This window comes from Homo sapiens, chromosome 9 (genome assembly GCF_000001405.40).
Source record: "Homo sapiens chromosome 9, GRCh38.p14 Primary Assembly".
NCBI classification, from domain to species: domain Eukaryota; kingdom Metazoa; phylum Chordata; class Mammalia; order Primates; family Hominidae; genus Homo; species Homo sapiens.
Genome location: NC_000009.12, coordinates 110,238,900 through 110,261,311, shown reverse-complemented (window position 1 = coordinate 110,261,311; position 22,412 = coordinate 110,238,900). Strand labels below are relative to the sequence as shown.

At 43.4% G+C, this 22,412-nt stretch overlaps 1 protein-coding gene across 2 annotated transcripts, besides 6 other annotated features; it reads left to right on the top strand.

Annotated features, from left to right (window-relative positions):
* Positions 3,342-4,541: an enhancer, noted in NCBI's record as "MED14-independent group 3 enhancer chr9:113019051-113020250 (GRCh37/hg19 assembly coordinates)". NCBI's record gives its function as "activates an origin of replication core promoter dependent on BRD2, BRD4, P300/CBP and CDK7 cofactors, and independent of MED14, by STARR-seq in HCT116 cells {active_cell/tissue: HCT116}" and the evidence as "EXISTENCE:reporter gene assay evidence [ECO:0000049][PMID:35650434]".
* Positions 4,124-4,173: an enhancer, noted in NCBI's record as "active region_28786". NCBI's record gives its function as "activates an Ori minimal core promoter by ATAC-STARR-seq in GM12878 lymphoblastoid cells {active_cell/tissue: GM12878}" and the evidence as "EXISTENCE:reporter gene assay evidence [ECO:0000049][PMID:35858748]".
* Positions 4,214-4,413: an enhancer, noted in NCBI's record as "active region_28785". NCBI's record gives its function as "activates an Ori minimal core promoter by ATAC-STARR-seq in GM12878 lymphoblastoid cells {active_cell/tissue: GM12878}" and the evidence as "EXISTENCE:reporter gene assay evidence [ECO:0000049][PMID:35858748]".
* Positions 4,554-4,793: a silencer, noted in NCBI's record as "silent region_20174". NCBI's record gives its function as "represses an Ori minimal core promoter by ATAC-STARR-seq in GM12878 lymphoblastoid cells {active_cell/tissue: GM12878}" and the evidence as "EXISTENCE:reporter gene assay evidence [ECO:0000049][PMID:35858748]".
* Positions 4,805-17,502, top strand: TXN (thioredoxin). Of its 2 annotated transcripts, NM_003329.4 has the most exons (5): positions 4,805-4,900; positions 9,850-9,954; positions 10,433-10,492; positions 16,469-16,534; positions 17,093-17,502. In NM_003329.4, exons 1-5 carry the CDS (start codon positions 4,877-4,879, stop codon positions 17,153-17,155), a joined length of 318 nt encoding a protein of 105 aa, NP_003320.2. In that variant the 5' UTR covers positions 4,805-4,876; the 3' UTR covers positions 17,156-17,502. The 2 variants fall into 2 exon arrangements, with proteins under 2 accessions (NP_003320.2, NP_001231867.1); NM_001244938.2 differs by lacking the exon at positions 10,433-10,492.
* Positions 4,964-5,213: a silencer, noted in NCBI's record as "silent region_20173". NCBI's record gives its function as "represses an Ori minimal core promoter by ATAC-STARR-seq in GM12878 lymphoblastoid cells {active_cell/tissue: GM12878}" and the evidence as "EXISTENCE:reporter gene assay evidence [ECO:0000049][PMID:35858748]".
* Positions 5,284-5,613: an enhancer, noted in NCBI's record as "active region_28784". NCBI's record gives its function as "activates an Ori minimal core promoter by ATAC-STARR-seq in GM12878 lymphoblastoid cells {active_cell/tissue: GM12878}" and the evidence as "EXISTENCE:reporter gene assay evidence [ECO:0000049][PMID:35858748]".
* Positions 17,503-22,412: the final 4,910 nt, after the last annotated feature.

The window sequence follows — 22,412 nt, the reverse complement described above, 5'->3', positions numbered from 1 at the left end:
CGACTTCATCTCAGGATTTTATAGGCTTACCTCTTTCCCATGATTCTTCCCTCAGGGTGGGCTGCCTGCCTAGTGCCTGCCCCCTTACCCTTGGGAATTGAGCACACACAGCGTGTTTAGGAAGTCATATGCATGCCTATCTGAGACTTTCTTCCCTTTTTCTGGAAGAGCCTGCCTGGAATGTCTTATTTTGCCATTTTGTCTCTTAGTGCACATGCCCAGGCAGTTTCTTCTCCCGGGCATCTGGATTCATTTAACGCTTTAATGTTAACAGCTGTGGATCACCAGGAAATGGCCTCTCCCTGGCACCCTGGTTAGGCTGCCACATTATCGTTTTTAGAGTGGTGGTGTGATAATTGTCCAACCATCACCTGACATTCCTAGTGGGTGGGTAGAGAGCCCTCTCCTGCCTCACTCATGCCTATCTAACTACTTATAACAATACTTAATATCAAGTAAAATCCACCCACTAGAACATACATCCCTTCACAGGGGATGCAAGACTGCTAGCTTCCCCCATTTTTAAAAAATTATTTTTTAATTGACAAGTGAAACTTGTATACATTGATGGTGTACAACATATTTTGATATAGGTATACAATGTAGAATGGCTAAATCAAGCTAATTAACATATGCATCACCTCACATATTTGTGTATGTGTGTTGTGAGAAGCCAAATTTATTAACTTTTTCATTTATAGCTAGTGATTTCTGTGTTCTGCCTAAGAAATATTTGCCTACCTCAAGGTTGCAAAGATTATCTCTAATGTCTTCTTCCAGGAGTTCCTTGGTAAATTCTAAGTAATTTTATGGCATGCTGTAAAGGTCAAGTTCCTTTTTCTTTCAAAAAAAAATTTTTTTTTTCTTTCTAAAAATCTGGGATTTTGGAAGGAGAAAGAATCTGGATGCAGCAAAGGGAAGCACTTGCCTTACCGCCTGGCTGTGACATACATGGAGCATTGTATGTCATGCAATGATATACACTGAGATGGGCAAAACTTTCGGTTAAAGCAAAAAGAAACATCTGGGAATACAGTGGTGCTTGCTGAATCCAGATGATTCCATGCTACATGGTGAAAGGGCTCAAGCGGGCAGCAAGGGTGACCACTGGACCAAATTAAGGGCTATAAGGAGCAGTGATGTGCAGGGTAGGTTACTCACAGGGGTTATTATATTATCTGAAATTTACATTAAAATACTTGGCAATTAAAGTGTGATATAGTTATGCGTAAATTAGTTTTTACAATCTAAATAGTTAAGATTTGATGTGTTGTAATATACGGCACATTAGCATAAGGGATGTCAGATATTTTTCACTGGTGAAATGAGGAGTACTTAATATATGCAGATGGGCTTGAGAACTGTGCTGATACTTCCCACCCTTCATGGACAGAGTATAAGAATTAGTGAACATTGGATATGACTAGGTGACCTCTTTGAATCTCAATTTCTTTCTCTGTAAAATAGGAAAAATAATGTCTATCTTCTAAGGGATATTGAGAGGAATGATAAGACACGCCCAACTCTAGGCTTGGCATTTAATGACTGTCCCACCCAGGTTAATTTGTTCCTTTTCCTTCTACCACTTTTTTTACTGTAGTACTTCGAGCTCCTGATTTTATGTCACTTACCACATTCTCTTTTGAGTTCCCATCTCAACTCTCTTGCTAGACACAGTCTTGAAGCTTAACTAATGCTGGCCTCCCTCTGAAGGTCCCATGGCAAAGCTCATCAAATCTTAGTGTACCCAATCACCTGAGATGCTTTTTAAAAATGCAGATTACAAAGCCTTACCTCAAAAGACTGATTCTGTATGTCTGTCTGGGTGTGGTCCAGGAATGTGCAGTATCATCGAGCACCTTTGGCTATGATGAATTAGGTGGTCAAGAACCACTCAGAGACACGTGGGATGTGAGAAAAACTTGTTTCAGAAATCCTACAATTACATTTTCTTCAAATTCGAGTTGAGACCCAAACAAAGACAGCTGACCCAGTTCTCCAGTCCCATGTGGAGGCTGGACTCAGCTGACCCAGGCCTGAAGCAGGCCCATCACCCTTGTTACATGTTTCCGCCCTTCTGGGTGACATAAAAATATCATTTTTGCTGGTCCGGCAGCAATCTCCCCTTTTCTGGTAACCCCCTGGATTTTCCCTACTCTTAGTGCAAAGCTTCAAGCAAGGCTAATCCCTTTCCCCACCATGAAAGTGAAGGTCAGCCTCTCAGACATTTATAAGAACAAGGAAGAGGAACACTCTTCCTGTAGAGATACTAAACTAGTAAGAACCTAAGTCTGGAGCTGCCTACTCCACTCTTACATAGAGTGCCTACTTGAGAATGAAACTAAGAGAGATGGTGCCCTTTGACATCATTAGGCCCCTGGGGTTCTTGCTAATCTGAGTTACTAATTCTCTTTTTGCTTTACGTCAGTTTGAGCTAGAATTTCTCCTTGCAACTGAAAATTCTGACTAACACACAGAGCCTCTACATTTCTCTGCACAAATGAACGCTTCCTCTCTGGGCAGTCCCAAATAATTCCCCTGTACCTCACTCTCCTCAAAGAACGTCACCTCCTTGCCACAAATGCAGGGAACCTGCTCCTTGGGACCAGGTGCAGCCCACTTTTCTTTCTTCCTTGCAGGGAAAAAAAAGGCCTTTTCCTTTGAGGCTTATGTTACGGAGCTCACTGTTCATTACTACTGTCTTCATTACTTAATTCATTTAAGACTGACACCTGTTTTATAATCTCTCCTTCCACCCTAGCTCTGCCATCATTCCAGATGGATCTCATCATTCATTTAATAGCCTATAATCATAGTTCATGTAGCATTCACTACACACCAGGCACGGTTCTAAGCATTTTACATATATTTTAGTTCACTCAACCCTTATAATAGCACAAGCTATTATTACGCCCACTTCTCACATAAGGAAACTGAGGCACAAAAAGGCTATTTAGACTTGCCTAGAGTTACCCAGTCATGAAGTGGTAGAGTAGGGATGAGGACAACGGAGTCAAATTGCAGAGTCCAGACTGGCCTCCCAGTTCCTTATAACTGTACCATCCTCCACATCTACTCTGCATTGGTGCTGTGGAGGTGGGAGAGAGGGAGTACCTCCTTCACTGAGTCACTGGACATTTGGAAGGTCTTTGGAGAGAAGTCAGCTGAGGATGGCCTGCATTGCCCCTTCCTGGAACTCAATGATTTGTTGTTATCACCCATGCAAATTCACCAACAAACAGATAAAAGTCAGGAAGCTGGGATGCAGCTGAACTGAAAACCCAGCAGCAGAAAAGCAGGTTATAGATTCTGCTCTGGGTGCTCCATACAGCTCCTTCCTCTCTGCCCCAATAACCTCCCTCTCTTTGGGAACATTGCTGCATTCAGGGCAGTCTGTCTTCCCTCCCTATGGGCTGTCTTTAGAATGTGTCCCTTGCCTATATCCATATTCATGCTCCGTGCTCCTCAGCCCCCTAGAAACTTTGCACAATAGATTCAAAACCTCTGGTTTCCTCCCTTCCTCTGTCTGAAAGAGTGAAAGAAGGAAGCCAGGGATTTCAGGGGGCAGCCAGGCAGCAGTATCACCACCCCTAGGCAATCACACCTAGTTGCAGCTTCATCGGGAACAGCTCAGCTCTGAAAACACAGACCTGGGACTCTCCCTCCCAGCCTTCTAGCTCTCGTTCCTGTGAGCAGCTTTTCAACCTCCACTTCCAGCCGCTGACAGGCCCTCCTGGCTCCACAAGGCCAGCTAACATACCCACCTTCCACAATCCCCAGCCCTGCCAGACATAACCTGCAACAGGCATTCCTGGATCAATGCAAACTCCGACTTCTGTTCCAGGAGTCTGCCTCTGTTAGAAGAATCTCACACAAGTGTGCGTGCTGTGCCATTGTAAATGCTGTATAAGGTGGCCAGGCCCAATCAGTCCCTGCAAGACACCGAACAGTAAGAACTATCTATGGAGTGTTTACTATGTGCCAAGCACCGTCCTTTGCAAGCACTATTAACCCTCAAAATACCACCACCGTGAGATTGAGACCATCATGATTCCCGTTCTACAGAAGGAAACACTGAGACTTCAGGAGGTCAGGACCTTTCCAGGGTCACAACTGCGTAACTAAGTTGCAGAGCTCAACCCAGTGGCACTTCCATCTCACACGCAGCTGTCTGATGGTCAAGAGCCCAACCAGTCCCCCGGTCGTTTCTACCGCACTAAACCGCTGTGTCAAGCTGGAGCAGCGGGCTCAGCAGTGAAAATGAAAGAACAGAAGGAGGTTACAGAGAAGAGAACGGTCACGGTAAATTCCGGAGAGGAGGCAAGGACGTACACACCGAGATACTTCCCGGTCACCGTTACTCAGCACTTTGTGGGGTTCACGTGGCTGGGGGGGCCGGGGCGTGGCGGCCCTTTTCGAGGAATCCAGCCCTGCCTGGGCGGTCCCCATCTCGAGCGTGGGCGTGTTCGATTCAGGCCCGGCGGACGCATCCCCAGGTGACCCGGGAGGGACCTTGTGTCTCTGGGGGTGACTGTCCGTCTCCCCGCCTCCCACCGTCACGCGCAGTGCTGATCCCCACTTCCAGCTGGAGTGCGAGCTGGGCTTGGGGTTACAGGAGCCGAAGCCCTGGAGCTCCGCCCCACGCTTGCGCCAGCCCCGCCCCGATCCCGGCTCGCAGGCTCCAGGGGCGGGGCGTGGCCGGGGCGCAGCGACGGGCGCGGAGGTCCGGCCGGGCGCGCGCGCCCCCGCCACACGCACGCCGGGCGTGCCAGTTTATAAAGGGAGAGAGCAAGCAGCGAGTCTTGAAGCTCTGTTTGGTGCTTTGGATCCATTTCCATCGGTCCTTACAGCCGCTCGTCAGACTCCAGCAGCCAAGATGGTGAAGCAGATCGAGAGCAAGGTACGCGCTACCGGGGAAGGCCAGGGTGCCGGCGCCGCGCGCGGCCTCTGTAACTGGGGAAGGCGGTGGCGGGAGGTGGGGAAGGCGGTGGCGGGAGGTGCGGAGGCCGCCCCTCCGCATCGCCAGGGGAAAGGGACGCGGCGTCTCGGCCTGGGACTGCGGGAAGCAGCGGCCTGGGCGCGCCCGAGGCGGTGGAGCCTGCCCTGGAGGAAGGGAGGAGAAGGACGAGGGTCCCCTGGAGGGCGGAGTGGCGGTGCCCAGCGTTTCTCGCACCCTGTTCCTCGGGGGATTGCACGCACGCGGGGAGCGTCCGGGGGATGTGAGAGCGCAGACAGCGTGAGGAGTCCCCACGCTGCGCCTCCTGCACCCTCCCGTCCGGGCAGCCCCGACTGGAGGAAGATGAGGGAATGGAAGGGGTCCGCCCTTGGCCCCCCATCTGTATCCAGATTCAGGCCCCAGGCAAGGATAGGGAGGGCCCTTGCAGAAGGCACGGGTCGGTGGCCGCCGCTGCCTTTCCGTATGTGAAGTGATCCACCCGCAGCGGGGGTAGTGATCTCCCTTTGGGAGCGGGTCTAGGCCGGAGACCCCCGCCTGCCTCCACCCATGCCCGACCCCAAAGGTGACGCGTGCTGTATCCGCACTAAGGGGGCGGATTGCGGCTGGAGACCCCCTGGCACGTGCAGGTCTGTCCAGGAGGCCCGAGGGCCCCAGGTGACCGCGAGGAAGTGAGGTCCGGGCCGCGCCCACGGGACTCCTGTGGCGCAGGGCGCGTTTCCGGCAGCAGTGGCTTTGGAATGACTGAGTCCCCAAGGTTGGGCCCGGGGGCCTCGGCTGCCCTGCCCGTCCATGATTCACCCTCAGTCGGTGGGTTTTGCTGGAGCCAGGGTTCCTCCTGGGAGCAGCCGCGCCCTGCTGCCTGCTCGCCGACCTATCGGTATCCCGATCGTTGTTTTGTCCTCTTAAAAATGCCCAAGGCGAAACAGCCTTCCCATGTTTGAAAGTTATTGCAAGCCTAAAACCTTGTAGACTGGGAAACCCAGAGCCTAACGCGCAGTGTCTAGTCCAATGTAGCCACTCCAGAAATATTTGTTAAATGCAGCGTCAGAAAAGTGAGTGGAGGAAATTGATACTGCTCGAACGGTAGAAGACCCCTCGCCAGCGCCTACCCTGCGATTACCCCTCCCTACCTGCGGGAAGCAGAGGAGGGCGGGTCCTCGCCCGCCTCGGGTGCCCTGACCTGTTTGGTGCCGGGTGGGCTTCGGAAACAGAAGTGTGTCTGCAATGTGTCCCCGATCCTTTTGTTCCTTTGATTATTATTGACTCTCAGTGTTTTTTCCTCATATGTTGATTGCCACTGTCATCTTTTATCTTCCTCTCAATCAGTTTTTTCTTAGTGGGATTCTCATTTTAGCAGCCCTCATGTGTTGAAAAGATCCTTAGTAGTGAATTGTCTTTCATATACTTTTTTTCCAAGCACCTATTGTGTGACAAATTATTAATCCATTCCTGGGGAAGGGAGTGGGGCTGGGATTCTGTTCTCCAGGGTCTGGCAACCTCAGTATAACCCAACTGCTAAGAACCCCCTCCACTGAGCCAGAAGACCTTTGAGTGGTCTATGTTAGTTGTCCCAAAATCCAGACACTACAAACAAAGTTGATTAGGATTTCTGGAGCACACAGTTTAGTCCTCCCAGTTGTCAGAGCATGTCAGAGCACCTTCCTCCTCTACCAGTGACAAAGGTGTACAAGGGTGACAGGAACTTTAAAAAAAGCACTACAGCCTGGGGCCCAAAGGCCCTGATAATCAATTAATCCTCAAAATAACAATCCAAAGTCATTGATCGAAAGTTACACTAATTTGATTGTTATTTGTCTGTTAGTTTGTTTTTCGAGATGGAGTTTTGCCCTTGTTGCCCTGGCTGGAGTACAGTGGCGCGATCTCGGCCCACTGCAACCTCCACCTCCTGAGTTCAAGCGATTCTCTTGCCTCAGCCTCCTGCACAGCTGGGATTACAGGCATGCGCTGCCAAAATGCCCAGTAATTTTGTATTTTTAGTAGAGATGGGGTTTCACCATGTTGGTCAGGTTTGTCTCGAACTCCTGACTTCAGGTGATCCACCAACCTCAGGCTCCCAAAGTGCTAGGATTACAGGCGTGAACCACCACGCCCAGCCTGTTATTTGTAAATGTTGAATACATGTTACATTTTCATCCTAATGGGCTAAATTTGCACCATTTGCCATTCAGAACAATTCTGTTTCTGAGGTACTCTGTTGGTGCTTTAGGGCCAACTGGGATCTATTTCAGAGAGGAATGGAATAATTGACTGTAAATGTGATGAGGAAGAAATAAACACTTTTAAAAAAAATGACACCTACCATTTATTGAACTCCCATCTACAAGGCACTTGGCTAAGTACTTCAGAAACCACTCACACTTATTACCCTCAGAGTAGGTATGTTGAGGCAACGAGATCTTAGACTCTTGCTCCTATTTACCCCAACTACACTGTTCTGCTTCCCCCAGATTATTGGTGTCAGTGATGGAGACATTTATTAATCCTGTTAGTTTCTGGGAGCTAGAAATTGTGATTTCTTCTTAGTAATACAATCTTGAATAATTTTCAAGCTGATACCCGTTTAGAAGTATCAGAAGAGAATTTGTACATGAAGCCTGCACATACGTGGGGTGTAACTCATGTTCAGTTAGGCTAAAAGTTATTGTTGCGTGCCTCTTTTCAGAATTTTAGGTACTTGTGCTTAAATTTGATTCAGAACTGTTTTGGAAAAGCCTTGAGTATGTTTGAAATACCTTCCCTCTTGAAAGTAATCTCAAGTTTTTAATAAGGGTTAATCATGTTAAAAAAACAAAAATGTCTATTCAACCAGACATTGGCATTTCTTGACCTTTTTTCCTGTCTTACCTGGATCTTGCAATAAAGGATGCCTGGTTTAACTTTCTTGAAAATCACATTAGGGAAGGCTTTGAATGAAATTGATCTGGAACAATAAGTGATGATTTGGAAAAACAATTGCTATACTTCTATGTACCCTGCTGCAGCTCTCCCCATGTCTCCACCTCTAGAGGTGGGGTTCAGGGATTTGCATAACTAAAAAATTTATGAAAGTGTTGTCCTACCTTTCTCAGGAACACCATTTGTGAATTATTTTCCCAAAAACGAGGTAGAAATTAGAAATCTAGAGAAGTAACTATTAGTACATGAGGTCATATTAGTGTTTTCTTGTTGGGTTTTTTTTTGTTTATTTGGTTTTTTATCTTATGGTTTTTTATTTATTTGATTTCTTTCTTTACGAGACCTCTTGTGGCGGTGGGGGGCGGGGAATGTTCATTTTTTTTTAAACCTATTTGACCAGCATTGTTTCCTTGAAGAAAACCTAGATTTCAGATACAGATGTTTATGTTTTGATTTATCTTAATTGCTCTGGTTTGGTTTTTGGGTTTGGTCAGCACTAACGTACTAATGTGGTTAAAATGAGTCCTTTGTTTTGGGAGGCCAAGGCGGGTGGATCACTTCAGGTCAGGAGTTCAAGACCAGCCTGGTCAACATGGCGAAACTCTGTCTCTACTAAAAATACAAAAATTAGCTGGGACTGGTGGCAGAGGCTTGTAATCCCAGCTACTCAGGAGGCTGAGGCAAGAGAATCACTTGAACCCCGGAGGCAAAGGTTACTGTGAGCCGAGATCAGGCCTTTGCACTCCAGCCTGGGCAACAAGTGAAACTCCGTCTCAAAAACAAAACAAAACAAAAATGAGTCCTTGGTAACTAGAATATTCGGTTCCCAGGGTTACAGTATCTAGATAGTAAATAATTCAGGGAAGTTAGTGGTAAGAGATTTCTTGATCATTTCTACTGAGAATTTTATTTAACAAGCATTCCTTATGAAAAATAATATCTATGAAAAATTTCCTTCATGAGGAACGAAAACTTTCATTTAATGAATGACAAGGGTATAGTTTTAAAATAAAGGGCAAAAATCAAAGGTTGGTAAACGTGTGATCTCAGCTCTGGAAACCCCATTATGCTTATGTCAACGGTGATGTCTGAGTGTTGAGGTTTGGGAAAGGTGAGTTTCCTTGACTTTTCAAAAAATTTTAGATTTTCGTATGGTCCACCATAGACAAATGAGTTTAATCAAAAGTCATAGCTTTTTTTTTTTTTTTTTTTTTTGCGACAGAGTCTCCGTCTATTGCCCAGGATGGAGTGCAGTGGCACAATTTTGGCTCACTGCAACCTCCGCCTCCTGAGTTCAAGCTATTCTCCTGCCTCAGCCTCCTGAGTGGCTGGGACTACAGGCATATGCCACCACGCCCAGCTAGTTTCTGTATTTTTAGTAGAGACAGCATTTCACCATATTGGCCAGGCTGGTCTCGAACTCCTGACCTAGTGATCCGCCCACCTCGGCCTCCCAAAGTGCTGAGATTACAGGTGTGAGCCACCATGCCCAGCCAACTTTTATCTTTAAGTAACTTGTGATGTTTCAATTGCAAAATCCTATGCCTTTGTGACTTCAAGTGACCCCTTTCATAATCCATAAGTGTTTAATGAATGTCTACCATATACCTAGCCTTGACATGGAAACATTTTTAATACAAATGTCTATTTTTATTTTCCTTTTGTTTGGTGTAGAGAAAAAATAGCCAGTTCACAATATTTTATAAAATAGTTATGAAGAGAATGTCAGTATACTCTACACATATCTTGTTTCATCTTATCAAGTAACACTACCAACAATGTATAGAATTTCTTCAAACTGAGTTTTATTTGGCTTGTTTGGGGATTTTTTTTTTTTTTTTTTTTTTTTTTTGGCTAAAAAGTAGGTCCTGAAAGGAGGACCTCCAGAATGTGCTTTGTGTCATTGTGTCGAGTCTTTCTTTTGAAGGTTTAATATTTAACTATTTATTTAATATAAGCTTTTCTTTTGCTGTTAGACTGCTTTTCAGGAAGCCTTGGACGCTGCAGGTGATAAACTTGTAGTAGTTGACTTCTCAGCCACGTGGTGTGGGCCTTGCAAAATGATCAAGCCTTTCTTTCATGTGAGTATTAAACAATGTCTGCTTTGTAAGAGATTTGTGTTTTTTGAGTTGGTGGTCACAGTGGTAGGAAAGAAAGACAGTTAAAGGATTTTGGTTTCGGTGGGGGGATTTCTTTGGCTGGATCTTTGGTCTAAAAGTAGTAGTATAACAAATAATTTAGGTTTGATACATGTAGCCCATTGAAAACAAATTTTAGAAGTTAATTTTGTCTTAAATAGTTCTTTTTTTCCCCACATTGAAACATGGGCCTTATTTGAAATCCCAGCCTCAGAATTTGATATGCCAAGCTGTTTTATACTAAGAAAAATTTGATTTAGAGAAAATTTATGTCTCTTAGATCTATGTCTCCAAAGATCTAAATTTTTGGATCTTTAATTAGTCTCTACTTTTATTAAGTTTCCATTTAAGAAGCTTGGGTATGTTGATTGCCATTACCTAGTTCTAAATCTTTTTGGATTTTTCATTTTAAATTTTCCAGTCCCTCTCTGAAAAGTATTCCAACGTGATATTCCTTGAAGTAGATGTGGATGACTGTCAGGTATGTAGCTGGAAATATGAGATACTGCTGAGCTTTTCACATTGGCCTTTTTCTCTGAATTGCACAGTGCTTTTTTCCATAAATATGTCAAATAATTCTAGAACTGTAATCCTATCTAAAAAGTTCTATCTCAGAAGAGCAGGCAAGTTAGGAGCTTAATCCTAGCTATCGGGAGCTGTATATCACATCCTAAAGTAAACAAAAATAAATGAGTGAGACTTCTGAATCTTATCGGCCACCCACCTTTCTAAAACCCTACATTCTACTTTACACTCTGAGATGTGCAATAAATGGAGATTGAATTTAGCTATGATCATTACATCCATAGGCTTGATGGAGTCACCAAATTATGAGACCGCTTGTAGGGCTCTTTGTGAACTTGCAGTAGCATGAGAACCTGCATTTGCAAGCCTATTCTAGTCTTGGTTGATTTTAGTCAATTAGAAACCACAAATGTTTTAACAAATAAACACCAAGGTACCTGAGAGAATAATTTGGAAGAAATTCCAGGGTTGGTTGTATTTAACAAATACTTGTTTTGCACTAGGTATATACCAGGCACTGTTCTGGGTGGTTTTTAAGTATCAGTTCATTTAATCCTGAGTGCTGTTATCATCCCCATTTTATAGATGAGAAAACTGAAACACAGAGGTTGTTCATGAAGTTTCAGTGAGTATGTGGCTGAACTAGGATTTAAAATGAAGTGGTCTGGCTTCCCAGCCCTTGACCTTAAGCACTACCCATCGGAGGATGCTCTGTCTTGTGGGTGTAGATCGGGTGCTTAGCACATGACCACAGACCTAGGAGAGCGGGTTGAGGAGGTATCACTTCGGGGCCCTTTACAGATATGTGAGCATTTTCACTTAGCCCTAGTGGAGAAGGAAAGGCGATGGGGGAAGGGTGCAGTGTGGCAACAGAGGCGCTGGACCTGGCTTCCAGTCCTGGCTCACTAGCATCTGCTTAGGCCAGTCACTCCTCTTCCTTGAGCCTTAAGACCTGCCCCATCAACCTCCCAAGGTTGCTTATTCATTGAGCAAACATGGAATATCCAATAAAGGGTGAAGGGTCACTTAAAACAGGCATATGGCAGTGCTCTCTAAACATGGGAGGGCGCAACAACCCCAGATTGTGTATTCTTAGCCAGTTTTTGACTCTGTGCCTTGGGCAACCCCTGCCTTGGCTTGTGCTGTCTTCTCCATCTGGCCTGTCCTTTCCTTTCCTACCTGACTAACTCCTTGTCATGAGCTTCACCCCTTCTCCACTTACCGCCTTGTGTGCCCTAAGTACCCAGTGAATCTTGGCAATTATTATAATGATCTTTATGTCTGTCCTTTACCATTAGTCTCAGTAGATTCCTAGGATCAGAGACCCTGTCTTAATTCACGTTGGTTGCCCCTTCACCTAGCACACCTGCCTTGCATGTAGTATAGGTGTGGAATGAATGAATGATGAATGTGATATGGTTGTTAAGTTACTATTCTAGATGTGTCCCAGAGTTGTTTTTTTTTTTTTAAAAAGAGTGTAATTGCATTTTTGTGAAAAATCCTTATCCCTTGTTTTAATCAAACTTAGTCTTATTAAGGTCAATTTAGCTAGGGGAAAATTGCACCTGGAATAGAGAAATTCTAACTGCCACTGATCCTATCAGATAGCAACTTGATTTTTTTTTTTTTTTTTTTTTTTTTTTTTTTTTTGAGATGGAGTTCACTCTGTCACCTGGGGTGGAGTGCAGTGGCATGATCTCGGCTCACTGCAACCTCTGCCTCCCGGGTTTAAGCAATCCTCTGTCTCAGCCTCCTGGGTAGCTGGGATTACAGGCATGCACCACCATGCCTGGCTAATTTTGTATTTTTACAAAATTAAAACCCCAGTAGAGACGGGGTTTCACCATGTTGGTCAGGCTGGTCTCGAACTCCTGACTTCAGGTGATCCACCCACCTCGGCCTCCCAAAGTGCTGGGATTATCCACCACGCCCGGCCTTGATTTTTATTTGAAAGCAATAATAGGTGCCAGATGCCATGATAAGCCCTTTGCATGCACTATGTCATTTAATCCTCACGATAACTATACGAGTATTTTTTATTAGCACCCTCATTGAACAGGTAATGGCACTGCAGCACAGAAGGTAAAGTCAGTCTCTTGAGGCAGACCAATGCACCATACTGTACTGAGGACAGGTCTTCTTACTGCCTTTAGGAAGTACAGTCATGCATCACTTAATGATGAGGATACTTTCTGAGAAATGTTAGGCAATTTTGTTGTGCACACATAGAGTGTACTTACACAACCTAGATGGCATAGCCTCCTGTACACCTAGGCTATGTGGTAAAGCCTGTTGCTCCTAGGCCACAAACAGGTAAGGCATGTTACTGTACTGAATACTGTAGGCAGTTATAACACAACAGTAAGTATTTGTGTATCTAAACATAGAAAAGGTATGGTGAAAACATGATATGAAAGATTAAAAAATGGTATGCCTTTATAAGGTACTTGCCATAAACGGGACTTGCAGGACTGAGAGGTGCTCTGGGCGAGTCAGTGAGTGGGTGGTGAGTGAATGTGAAGGCCTAGAACCTGTAGACGTTATAAACACTGTATGCTTACAAATTTTATTTTTAAAATTTCTTTTTTCAGCAATAAATTTATTGTAACTTTTTTACTTTATAGTTTTTTTATTTTTTTAACTCTTTAACTCTTGTAATAACACTTAGCTTAAAACACGAATGCATTGTACAGCTCTACAAAAATATTTTCTTTATATCCTTAGTCTATAAGCTTTTTTTAAAAAGACTTTTTAAACTTTTTGTTACAAACTAAGATTCAAACACATACATTAGCCTAGACCAACACAGGGTCAGGATCATCAGTATCACTGTCTCCCATCCCCACATCTTGTCTCACAGAAAGGTCTTCAGGGACAGTAACATGCATGGACCTTTCATCTCCTATGATAACAGTGCCTTCTCCTGGAATGCTTCCTGAAGGGCCTGCCTGAGCCTGTTGTATAGTAACTGTCTTTTTAAAAAAATAAGTAGGAGTACACTCTAAATTAATAATGAAATTAAAGTAAATACAAAAACCAGTAACGTGGGTGTTTATTATCAAGTAGTATATACTGTCCATAATTGTAGTGATATGCTTTTTTAAGTGAAAGCAAGTTTATTAAGAAAGTAAAGGAACAAAAGAATGGCTATTCCGCAGGTAAAGCAGTCTGTAGTGGTATACTTTGTATGTAATTGCAGCGCAGATTTGTTTGCACCAGCTAATGCGATGGGCTATGACATTAACCCATCACTAGGTGAGAGGAATTTTTCAACTTCATTATAATCTTATGGGACCACCACATATATGCAATCTGTTGTCGATCTAAATGTTATATGGTGCATTACTATAGGTGTGCAAAGCACTCGAGGACTTCCGTATGACAGAGCTCCTCCTTCATGTCTGCTTGGTGCACCCTGATCACCCTGAATGTATCTTTTTTTTTTTTTTTTTTGAGACAGAGTCTCACTCTGTCACCCAGGCTGGAGTGCAGTGGTACCATCTCTGCTCACTGCAACCTCCACCTCCCGGGTTCAAGCGATTCTTCTGCCTCAGCCTCCTGAGTAGCTGGGACTACAGGCAGCCGCTACCACACCAGGCTAAATTTCAACTTTTTAGTAGAGACAGCATTTTGCCATGTTGGCCAGGCTGGTCTCGAACTCCTCACCTCAAGTGATCCACCCGTCTTGGCCTCCCAAAGTGCTGGGATTAGAGGCATGAGCTACCGTGCCTGGCCTGAAAGTGTCTTTTAAAACCTTGAAGTGACCCTCTGACAAACTGAGGAACTTTAACTTTGCCTCCATAGATTGATAGAAAAGTATGAGTAGTAGCCCTTTTGAAAATGATAGACCAACCTTATTTCTCTGACAGCCAACAGGGTTATGATACTTATTTTATAAATGGTAACCTCCCTCTGACCCTTACTTGGAGTGAGTTTTCAATAGTATGCATTCAATAAACATTCACCATTTTTATTCCAGCCATTACTGTCCTTGTGCCTCTTACTGGAACCTGTACTTTCATGCTCAGCAGGTGTCCAGCATTAAAAGAAAAAGTAAAGATTACCTAGAAAGAACTCCTCAACAGTAGTGCCACCCACCATCCTAGAGGTCGTCATAGTGTTTGTAGCTGGCCTTTCTTCCCCTTGAGAATTCTCCGTTGGTTTCCGTGATTTGGTTATCAACAGTCCTGCCTGCTCGCTTGCTGTCCTGTGTAGCTTTTGCTGCTTAGGTGCTGAGTGGTTCTATATTTCTTTCCCAGTCCTCTTTTGAGTGCCTGGCTGACATTTTCAATCTCTATTGGGCTCCAAACCAAACCAGTTTCGTGGTATTGTCCTCCAAACCTTGCCCTCTTATAGCATGAACAATGTGTTGAGCATGGGGTATTATAAGAGTTCTCATTTAGCATTCCACAGTTGAGGAATGTGTGTTACTTCAATTACCTTTGAGCTGTAGAAAAATCTTTAGCTGTGGTAACAGCCACTTCTAGGAGAGGAGAAAATACGGATCAACTAGCCCAATTTGCGATGTTAGGAATTTGTCGATTTTCTTAGTAGGATGGCTTTCAAAGGTTAGAGCATCAGAGTCACCTGAAGCCCGACTTTAACTGTAATGGTTTAAGATGGGGTTGATGGGGAAACTTGTAGTACCCCTCAGGTAATTCTGATACTGCAGCAAGGTTTGAGAATTCACAAAGTCTTTTTATTTTTCCTCCCGAGATAGTCTCATTCTGTCGCCCAGGCTGGAATACAGTGGCATGATCTCAGCTCACTGCAACCTCCGCCTCCCAGGTTCAAGCAATTGTCCTGTCTCAACCTCCTGAGTAGCTGGGATGACAGATGTGTGCCACCACACCTGGCTAATTTTTGTATTTTTAGTAGAGATGGGGTTTCTCCGTGTTAGCCAGGCTAGTCTCGAACTCCTGACCTCAGGTGACCCACCGGCCTTGGCCTCACAAATCAGTTTTTAATTAAAAATAAGCAGGAGGCTGAGTGTGGTGGCTCACACCTGTAATCCTAGCACTTTGGGAGCCCGAGGAAGGTGGATCACTTGAGCTCATGAGTTTGAGACCAGCCTGGGCAACATGGAGAGACCTTGTCCCTATAAAAAAAAAAAAAAAAAAATATATATATATATATATATATATATATATATATATAGTGTGTGTGTGTGTGTATATATATACACACACACACACAAAATTAGCCAGGTGTGGTGGCGTGTGCCTGTAGTCCCAGCTACTGGGGAGGCTGAGGAGGGAGGATGGCTTGAGTCTGGGAAGTGGAGATTGCAGTGAGCTGAGACTATGCCCCTGCATTCCATCCAGCCTGGGTGACACAGCCAGACCCTGTCTCAAAAATAATAATAATCAGTAAACCCAGTGTGGGGTTATTCCTTTAGATTACTATTATTTTGTTCTTGAACAATTGATTTTTATTTTTTTAGACTTTTTAGCCTTTATATAATCATTCTGTGTACTCTGCCTTCATAATAAAACTGGAAAAATTATGAGCAAGAAATAAGAGGTACTAGTTCTGAGGAATAGTTAAGATTATCATACTGAGTCCAATTGTAGCAGAATTTTTTGTTGCTTCTTTGTATGATACTTAAAATAGTTGAAAATTTGATTGGATTAAAGAGCATATTGGATCGCTGGAGTATCTGATGCTAGTAACATTCTGAACATTCTGCCTGTTAATGTGCCCGTCAAAGGAAGTAAATATTAATAAAACTTCTTCATTGAGAATATAACCGGTTTGGCTTTTGTAATGCCATTATATTCATTATATTAATTTTCATATGCTGAAAAATGTCCTCATGCGGAAATGTGGGGTACATGACAGGGAAAAGTTTCTGGTTTTGGATTACTTCTGTCAAAGCTCAGTACTCGCAGTCTTGTATTTAATCCTCTCCCTTTGCTACTTTCCCTACCAGGATGTTGCTTCAGAGTGTGAAGTCAAATGCATGCCAACATTCCAGTTTTTTAAGAAGGGACAAAAGGTACGTACATCTGACCTTTAAAACTCTAACTGGGCAATAGGAAACCCAGTATAAGTGAATAAATCACTGGAGTGATGTTCCCTTTAAAGATTGAGGCATATCACCAAGTTCTGCTTTTAAGAATTTTTAAATATGCCAAAATTCATTGGCTTAAGTACATAATGTGACAGCTAACTGAAAATCAATCTTTCCTAGAACTAGTCCTATTTATATCATAAAGCACATAGAATTTCTTAGACTTGGGCAGTTCATTTGTTGTTAAGTATTGTGTAAAAGAAAATTTGTACTTGAGCCTTTTGACTTTTCTCTTGATATTTTTTCTTTGTTTATAACTTAAATGAACTGTATGTTATTCAGGGAAGTTTACTTTAAATAAGATTATACTTCTTTTTCCCTCCACCCCTATTCTTCCTTCATTCTATGCTGAATACATATTTATACATATGTATATATATACATATGTATATGTATATATATAAATACATATTTATACATATTTTATGTATAAAACAGTGCTACAGTGCTACGTCTAATGTCAATTCAATATTCTCTTAACAGGTGGGTGAATTTTCTGGAGCCAATAAGGAAAAGCTTGAAGCCACCATTAATGAATTAGTCTAATCATGTTTTCTGAAAATATAACCAGCCATTGGCTATTTAAAACTTGTAATTTTTTTAATTTACAAAAATATAAAATATGAAGACATAAACCCAGTTGCCATCTGCGTGACAATAAAACATTAATGCTAACACTTTTTAAAACCGTCTCATGTCTGAATAGCTTTCAAAATAAATGTGAAATGGTCATTTAATGTATTTTCCTATATTCTCAATCACTTTTTAGTAACCTTGTAGGCCACTGATTATTTTAAGATTTTAAAAATTATTATTGCTACCTTAATGTATTGCTACAAAAATCTCTTGTTGGGGGCAATGCAGGTAATAAAGTAGTATGTTGTTATTTGTTATCTTTTGACAGAGAAAATAGCATTCTCTGTTTTAGCAGGTGAATCCTCTATGCTCTCCAAAAGATCAGCATGACCAAAATTGATGTCCACTCATGAAGGACTTGTTCGTTTTGTTTGTTTGTTTTGCCACGAGGATCGGATCTTGATTCTCCTCGAAGTATCTGAGAAAGTCTAGTTGTATAGGCCAGACATAGGTTCTGTCTTGAGTGGTAAAAGTTGTGGGAAATTATTACTTATATCATTCAAAGAACATTGTTTCTTGTGTTCTAAGCACAGTAAGGGGTTGGGGGTTTGAAGAAACTTTTTGAGTTTACATAATAATGAAGAGCAGAATTATCATATGCCAGGTATCATCTTTCTATTAATTCACTTAATCTTTGTAACAATCCTATTAGATATAGACACTATAATCCCCATTTACCTGTGAGGAAACAGACAAAGGGTGGTAATTTCCCCAGCATCACAACTAGTCATTGGAGGAGCTGGGATTTGAACCAAAGAAGTCTGGTACCAGAATATGTGCCTTTAACTACTACATTGCCCTCAGTGCAACAATCTGAGTAAGCAGGAAAATGATGGGCCCTTAGTTGAGTTTCTTTCCTCATGTGAAATTAGGATGCCAAACTTAGATGATCTCTCAAAATACTAATGGAATGCCTGTTATGTGCCAGGCATCATGCTAGGCTTGGGATAAAGCTGTGACTAAGACACCCTCATCCTCATACAGCTTACATTCTAGAAGCAGAGACAAACAGGTGAATAATAGACTGGTATATTCTACAAGGCAAAACCAAAAACTGGGCGCAGTAATGAGAAGAATAGGGGAACCAGCTGTGCATCAGGTGGTTGGACCTGGGTTCTTTGAGGTGACTGTAAACAGAGCTGTTGGATAAAAAGTACTCCAACCTGCTGAGAGCCAGGGAATCAGCTTTCAAGCAGAGAGAATGACAGACACAAAGGCTTGAGTCAAGAAAGAGCTTGGTACCTTGTAGAATCATCAGAGGAGCATGAAATAAAGCTCGATAGAGTGGCAGGGCCAGGTCAGCCAGGGCGTTATTTGTTCTAGAACGGATGAGAAACCATCGAAGGGTAAGTCAGGGTACATGCTTTGTTAACAAGTTATTTTGGCACCTGTATAGAAAACGGAAACTAAAAAGTGGAAAACCAGTTAGGCTTTTTTGTTTGTTTTTTGAGATGGAGTTTCGCTCTTGTCAGCCAGGCTGGAGTGCAATGGCGCAATCTCAGCTCACTGCAACCTCCGCCTCCCAGGGTCAAGCCATTCTCCTGCCTCAGCCTCCTGAGTAGCTGGGATTACAGGCACCCGCCACCATGCCCAGCTAATTTTTGTATTTTTAGTAGAGATGAGGTTTCACCATGTTGACCAAGATGGTCTCGAACTCCTGACCTCAGGTGATCCACCCACCTCAGCCTCCCAAAGTGCTGGGATTACAGGCGTGAGCCACTGTGCCCGGCCCCAGTTAGGCTTTTGCAATTACCTAGATCAGAGATAATGATAGCTGTGACTAGGAGGACAGTGGGGAAGTGACAGAGATGGAACAAAGCCTAAGGGCCTGTGAGAGGAAGACCCAGGAGTGAATCTCAGGTTTCTGGCAGAAGCCCTGGGTGTCGGGGTATGATGTGATGTCATGAGTGAGGTGAGGATGGGAGGGAGAAAGGGGTGGTGGTGAGGGAGTCAGTCTCTGGCCCTTCTGAGTTGGGTGCTTCTGAGGTGCACATCCCACTGAAGGTGCTGTGCAGGCTGTTGGGTACCTAGTTGAGAGCTCCAAGGACAGGTCTGGACTGGGATAGAAATTTGCAAGACATTGTCATGTAGATGGCACTTATAAACAAACATGACATCACCCAGGAAGAGTCCAGAGTGAAGAGGGCTCAAGATAGCCTGAAGGACTCAATATTTGGAGATCAAGTAGAATAGGAACCAACAAAGGAGACTGAAGGGTGGCCAGAGGGGAAAGACAAAAACCAGAAGAGGGTTTTATCCTGGAAGAACAGAGGAGAACATTTCAAAAAGGAAGGAGTATCATTTACCAAATTCCCTTGGAGCTAAGAAAGGTAAGGTTGAGAAAACAAAATGGAGGTTGGTGATTGCAACACAAAATTCCTATGGAGTGATGGGGAAGGAAGCCAGATTGGAGGGAACAGAAATCACACTTCTCATATCTGTCAAGCAATCCGGCCACCTCTGCCTCCCAAAGTGCTGGGATTATAGGCATGAGCCACTGTGCCTGGCCCAAACTTGTAGTTATAAAATGAATAAGTTCTGGGGAGCTAATGTGCGCCATGGTTACTATAGTTAATAATACCGTATTGTTCACTTGAAATTTGCTAAGAGTAGGTCTTAAGTGTGCTCACCCCACCCTCCACACACACACACACAAATGGTAACTGTGGTGATAGATATGTTAAGTAATGTGATTACTACACAGTGCATTCATATATCAAATAATTACATTGTACACCTTAAATATAAGCAATTATTGTCAATTATGCCTCAATAAAGCTAGAAGTTAGAAAAAAAAAAAAAAGAATAGATTCAGACCACAATAGGAGAGATTGGTGTTGGTTATGTCTTTCCTCCACCATAACCAGTGGGATGAAAGTGAGCGCAAGGTTAGAGAGCATTGTCGATTTAGGGATGGGAAGATGGCATTTCCATCTGATAGTTTCTGTTTTCCAAGCAGGCAGTTTTGAGGAGAAGGTATGAAATTGTTATCTTCACAGTGGCAAAGCAAAGCATGGTTTCTGGGCGTAGTTGAGTGTCTGCATGAGGTTTGTTAGGACCTCAGAGCCCTGCTGTGTGTGCAGGCAACTGAAGGTGGAGAGTTGAAGCCGGAGCAGGATTGGGTCTTTGTAGTTGAGTCCAGTAGTGAGTGGGGATGCAGAGAAGCTGACAGTACTTTTGAGGGATTGATTATACTGATGCAGTATAGAATCAAGGCTGGAGAAGTAGAGAGGAGAAGCCAAGAAGAGGCTGGTGAGCCACAGAAAAAGGAGTGTCTAAGGATTAGAGGTCTTGACAAGGTCAAAGAAGGCTGGCAGTGGGAGTGACTGAGCAAGCAAACTTTAAGAAGATGAGAGGTGGTAAGCAGAGTGAGATTTAAAAAACAGATTTGAGAAACAAATTTCCAGAGAAGACAAAGACTAGGGTGACCATGAGAAGGAGGTGAAGTGGGGTAGAGGAAGATTGGAACTCAGCAGGTCAAGGATTTGAGGCCAGGAACATACATGGGTTTCAGGGAAAGAAAATGGGAATAGGGATGGAAAGAGAAGTCTGTGAGGTGAACCATCTTTAGTGAGTGAGGAGGTTGATAGCAGATGGCAGCAGTAAGGAAGGTAGGAAGTTGGTACAACTTCATGAATGAGTTTCAGAGTAGTAGGAGATTTTGCAAGAAGGAGAAGTGGTTTGGAAGGGGCCTTAGGTGGGGAGGCAAGCAAAAAATCCAGTCACCTCCTGACTTGGGTATGTGGAGTGTAAAGTGTAGGGGAGGGGGAGCCCTTAGGATATTTCTGTTAAGGAAGGAGTTGATGTTCCAAGAACACATTAAAGATACAGAAACGGTTCCTGATCCAAAGCAAACTTCCAGCAGTTACTGTGAAAGGGATGGGGAGGGAGGGTTTGTTCAGGTTAAGGGCATGGGTCTAAATTTTGGCAGCACTTAGAATCAACTAGGGAGCTTTCCAAAAACAAAAGTGATGTTGGGATTCCAGTCCCAGAGATTTTGCTGTAAATGGGCTTGGGTGTTGCCTGGACACTATCTGATGTGCATTCAAAGTTGAGAACCAGCAGTTTAAGGGATATACAATATAGCCAGGAGATGATGGGTGACCAGCTGATCACCCATCTCTGGCAGTGATTGTGGTCAACACAATGAAATTCATTGATAGTCTCTTAGCATGAGATGGCAAACATCCTAATTGTTGCAGAAGGTAGTTAACAGATGCTTTTTATTTCTTGATTCGAAAGCAGTTTAAGAGACGAACATAAATATCATGGTGTTTCTTCTCATTCATATCGTTTCATAGCTGTTTACTGCCAACCTCCAAAAAATTCACAGATGCTAAACTTTGTTGCTTTGTTATGGAACAAGTGTTTAGAGTAGATGCTTTATAACTTGAATATATTATTACCTATTTAAAATAGTAAAGATATTAGAGTTAACTAAAGATCATACTTTATAAAAAAAATCTCAGTAACTGCACAGCACAATTCAATGTCATAAATTCTATTGTCCCCAAAGTGGATTACTTATATTAATAAATCTAGAAATATTAGTGAGCACTTTTTACTTGTCAATGCATAAAGTAATGAAGGTAAATATAGGATTTATAGTTCCGTAGAATATAGACTAACTAGTCATTAAAATAAGGCAAATATTGGCTGGGTGTGGTGGCTCACACCTGTAATCCCAGCACTTTAGGGGGCCAAGGCGGGGAGATCACCTGAGGTCAGGAGTTCGAGACCAGCCTGACCAACATGGTGAAACCCTGTCTCTACTAAAAATACAAAAATTAGCCGGGCTTGGTGGTGGGCACCTGTAATCCCAGCTACTCAGGAGGCTGAGGCAAAAGAACTGCTTGAACCCAGGAGGCGGAGGTTGCAGTGAGCCGAGACCGAGATTGCACCACTGCACTTCAGCCTAGGCGACAGAGTGAGACTCTGTCTCAAAAAGAAGAGAAGAGAAGAGACAAGGAAGGAAGGGGAGGCAAGGGGAGGGGAGGGGAGGGGAGGGCAGGGCACAGCAATGGAGGGGAGGGGAGAGGAGGGGCAAAAAGAGTATTCTGTTACATGAATACTGCAAAATGTATGGTATAGCACACTACCCTAGAGTTGTTCGTGGTCATCCAGAAGAAGCATGAGCTTAATGGCATGGCAGTTACTTTGGAGGAAG

Excerpts from the sequence above, each read along its gene's own strand:
- TXN (NM_003329.4), top strand. The coding sequence starts at position 4,877 with ATGGTGAAGCAGATCGAGAGCAAG. Across the intron at positions 9,955-10,432 it reads TGATCAAGCCTTTCTTTCAT|TCCCTCTCTGAAAAGTATTC; the intron begins GTGAGTATTAAA and ends TAAATTTTCCAG. Across the intron at positions 10,493-16,468 it reads TAGATGTGGATGACTGTCAG|GATGTTGCTTCAGAGTGTGA; the intron begins GTATGTAGCTGG and ends TTTCCCTACCAG.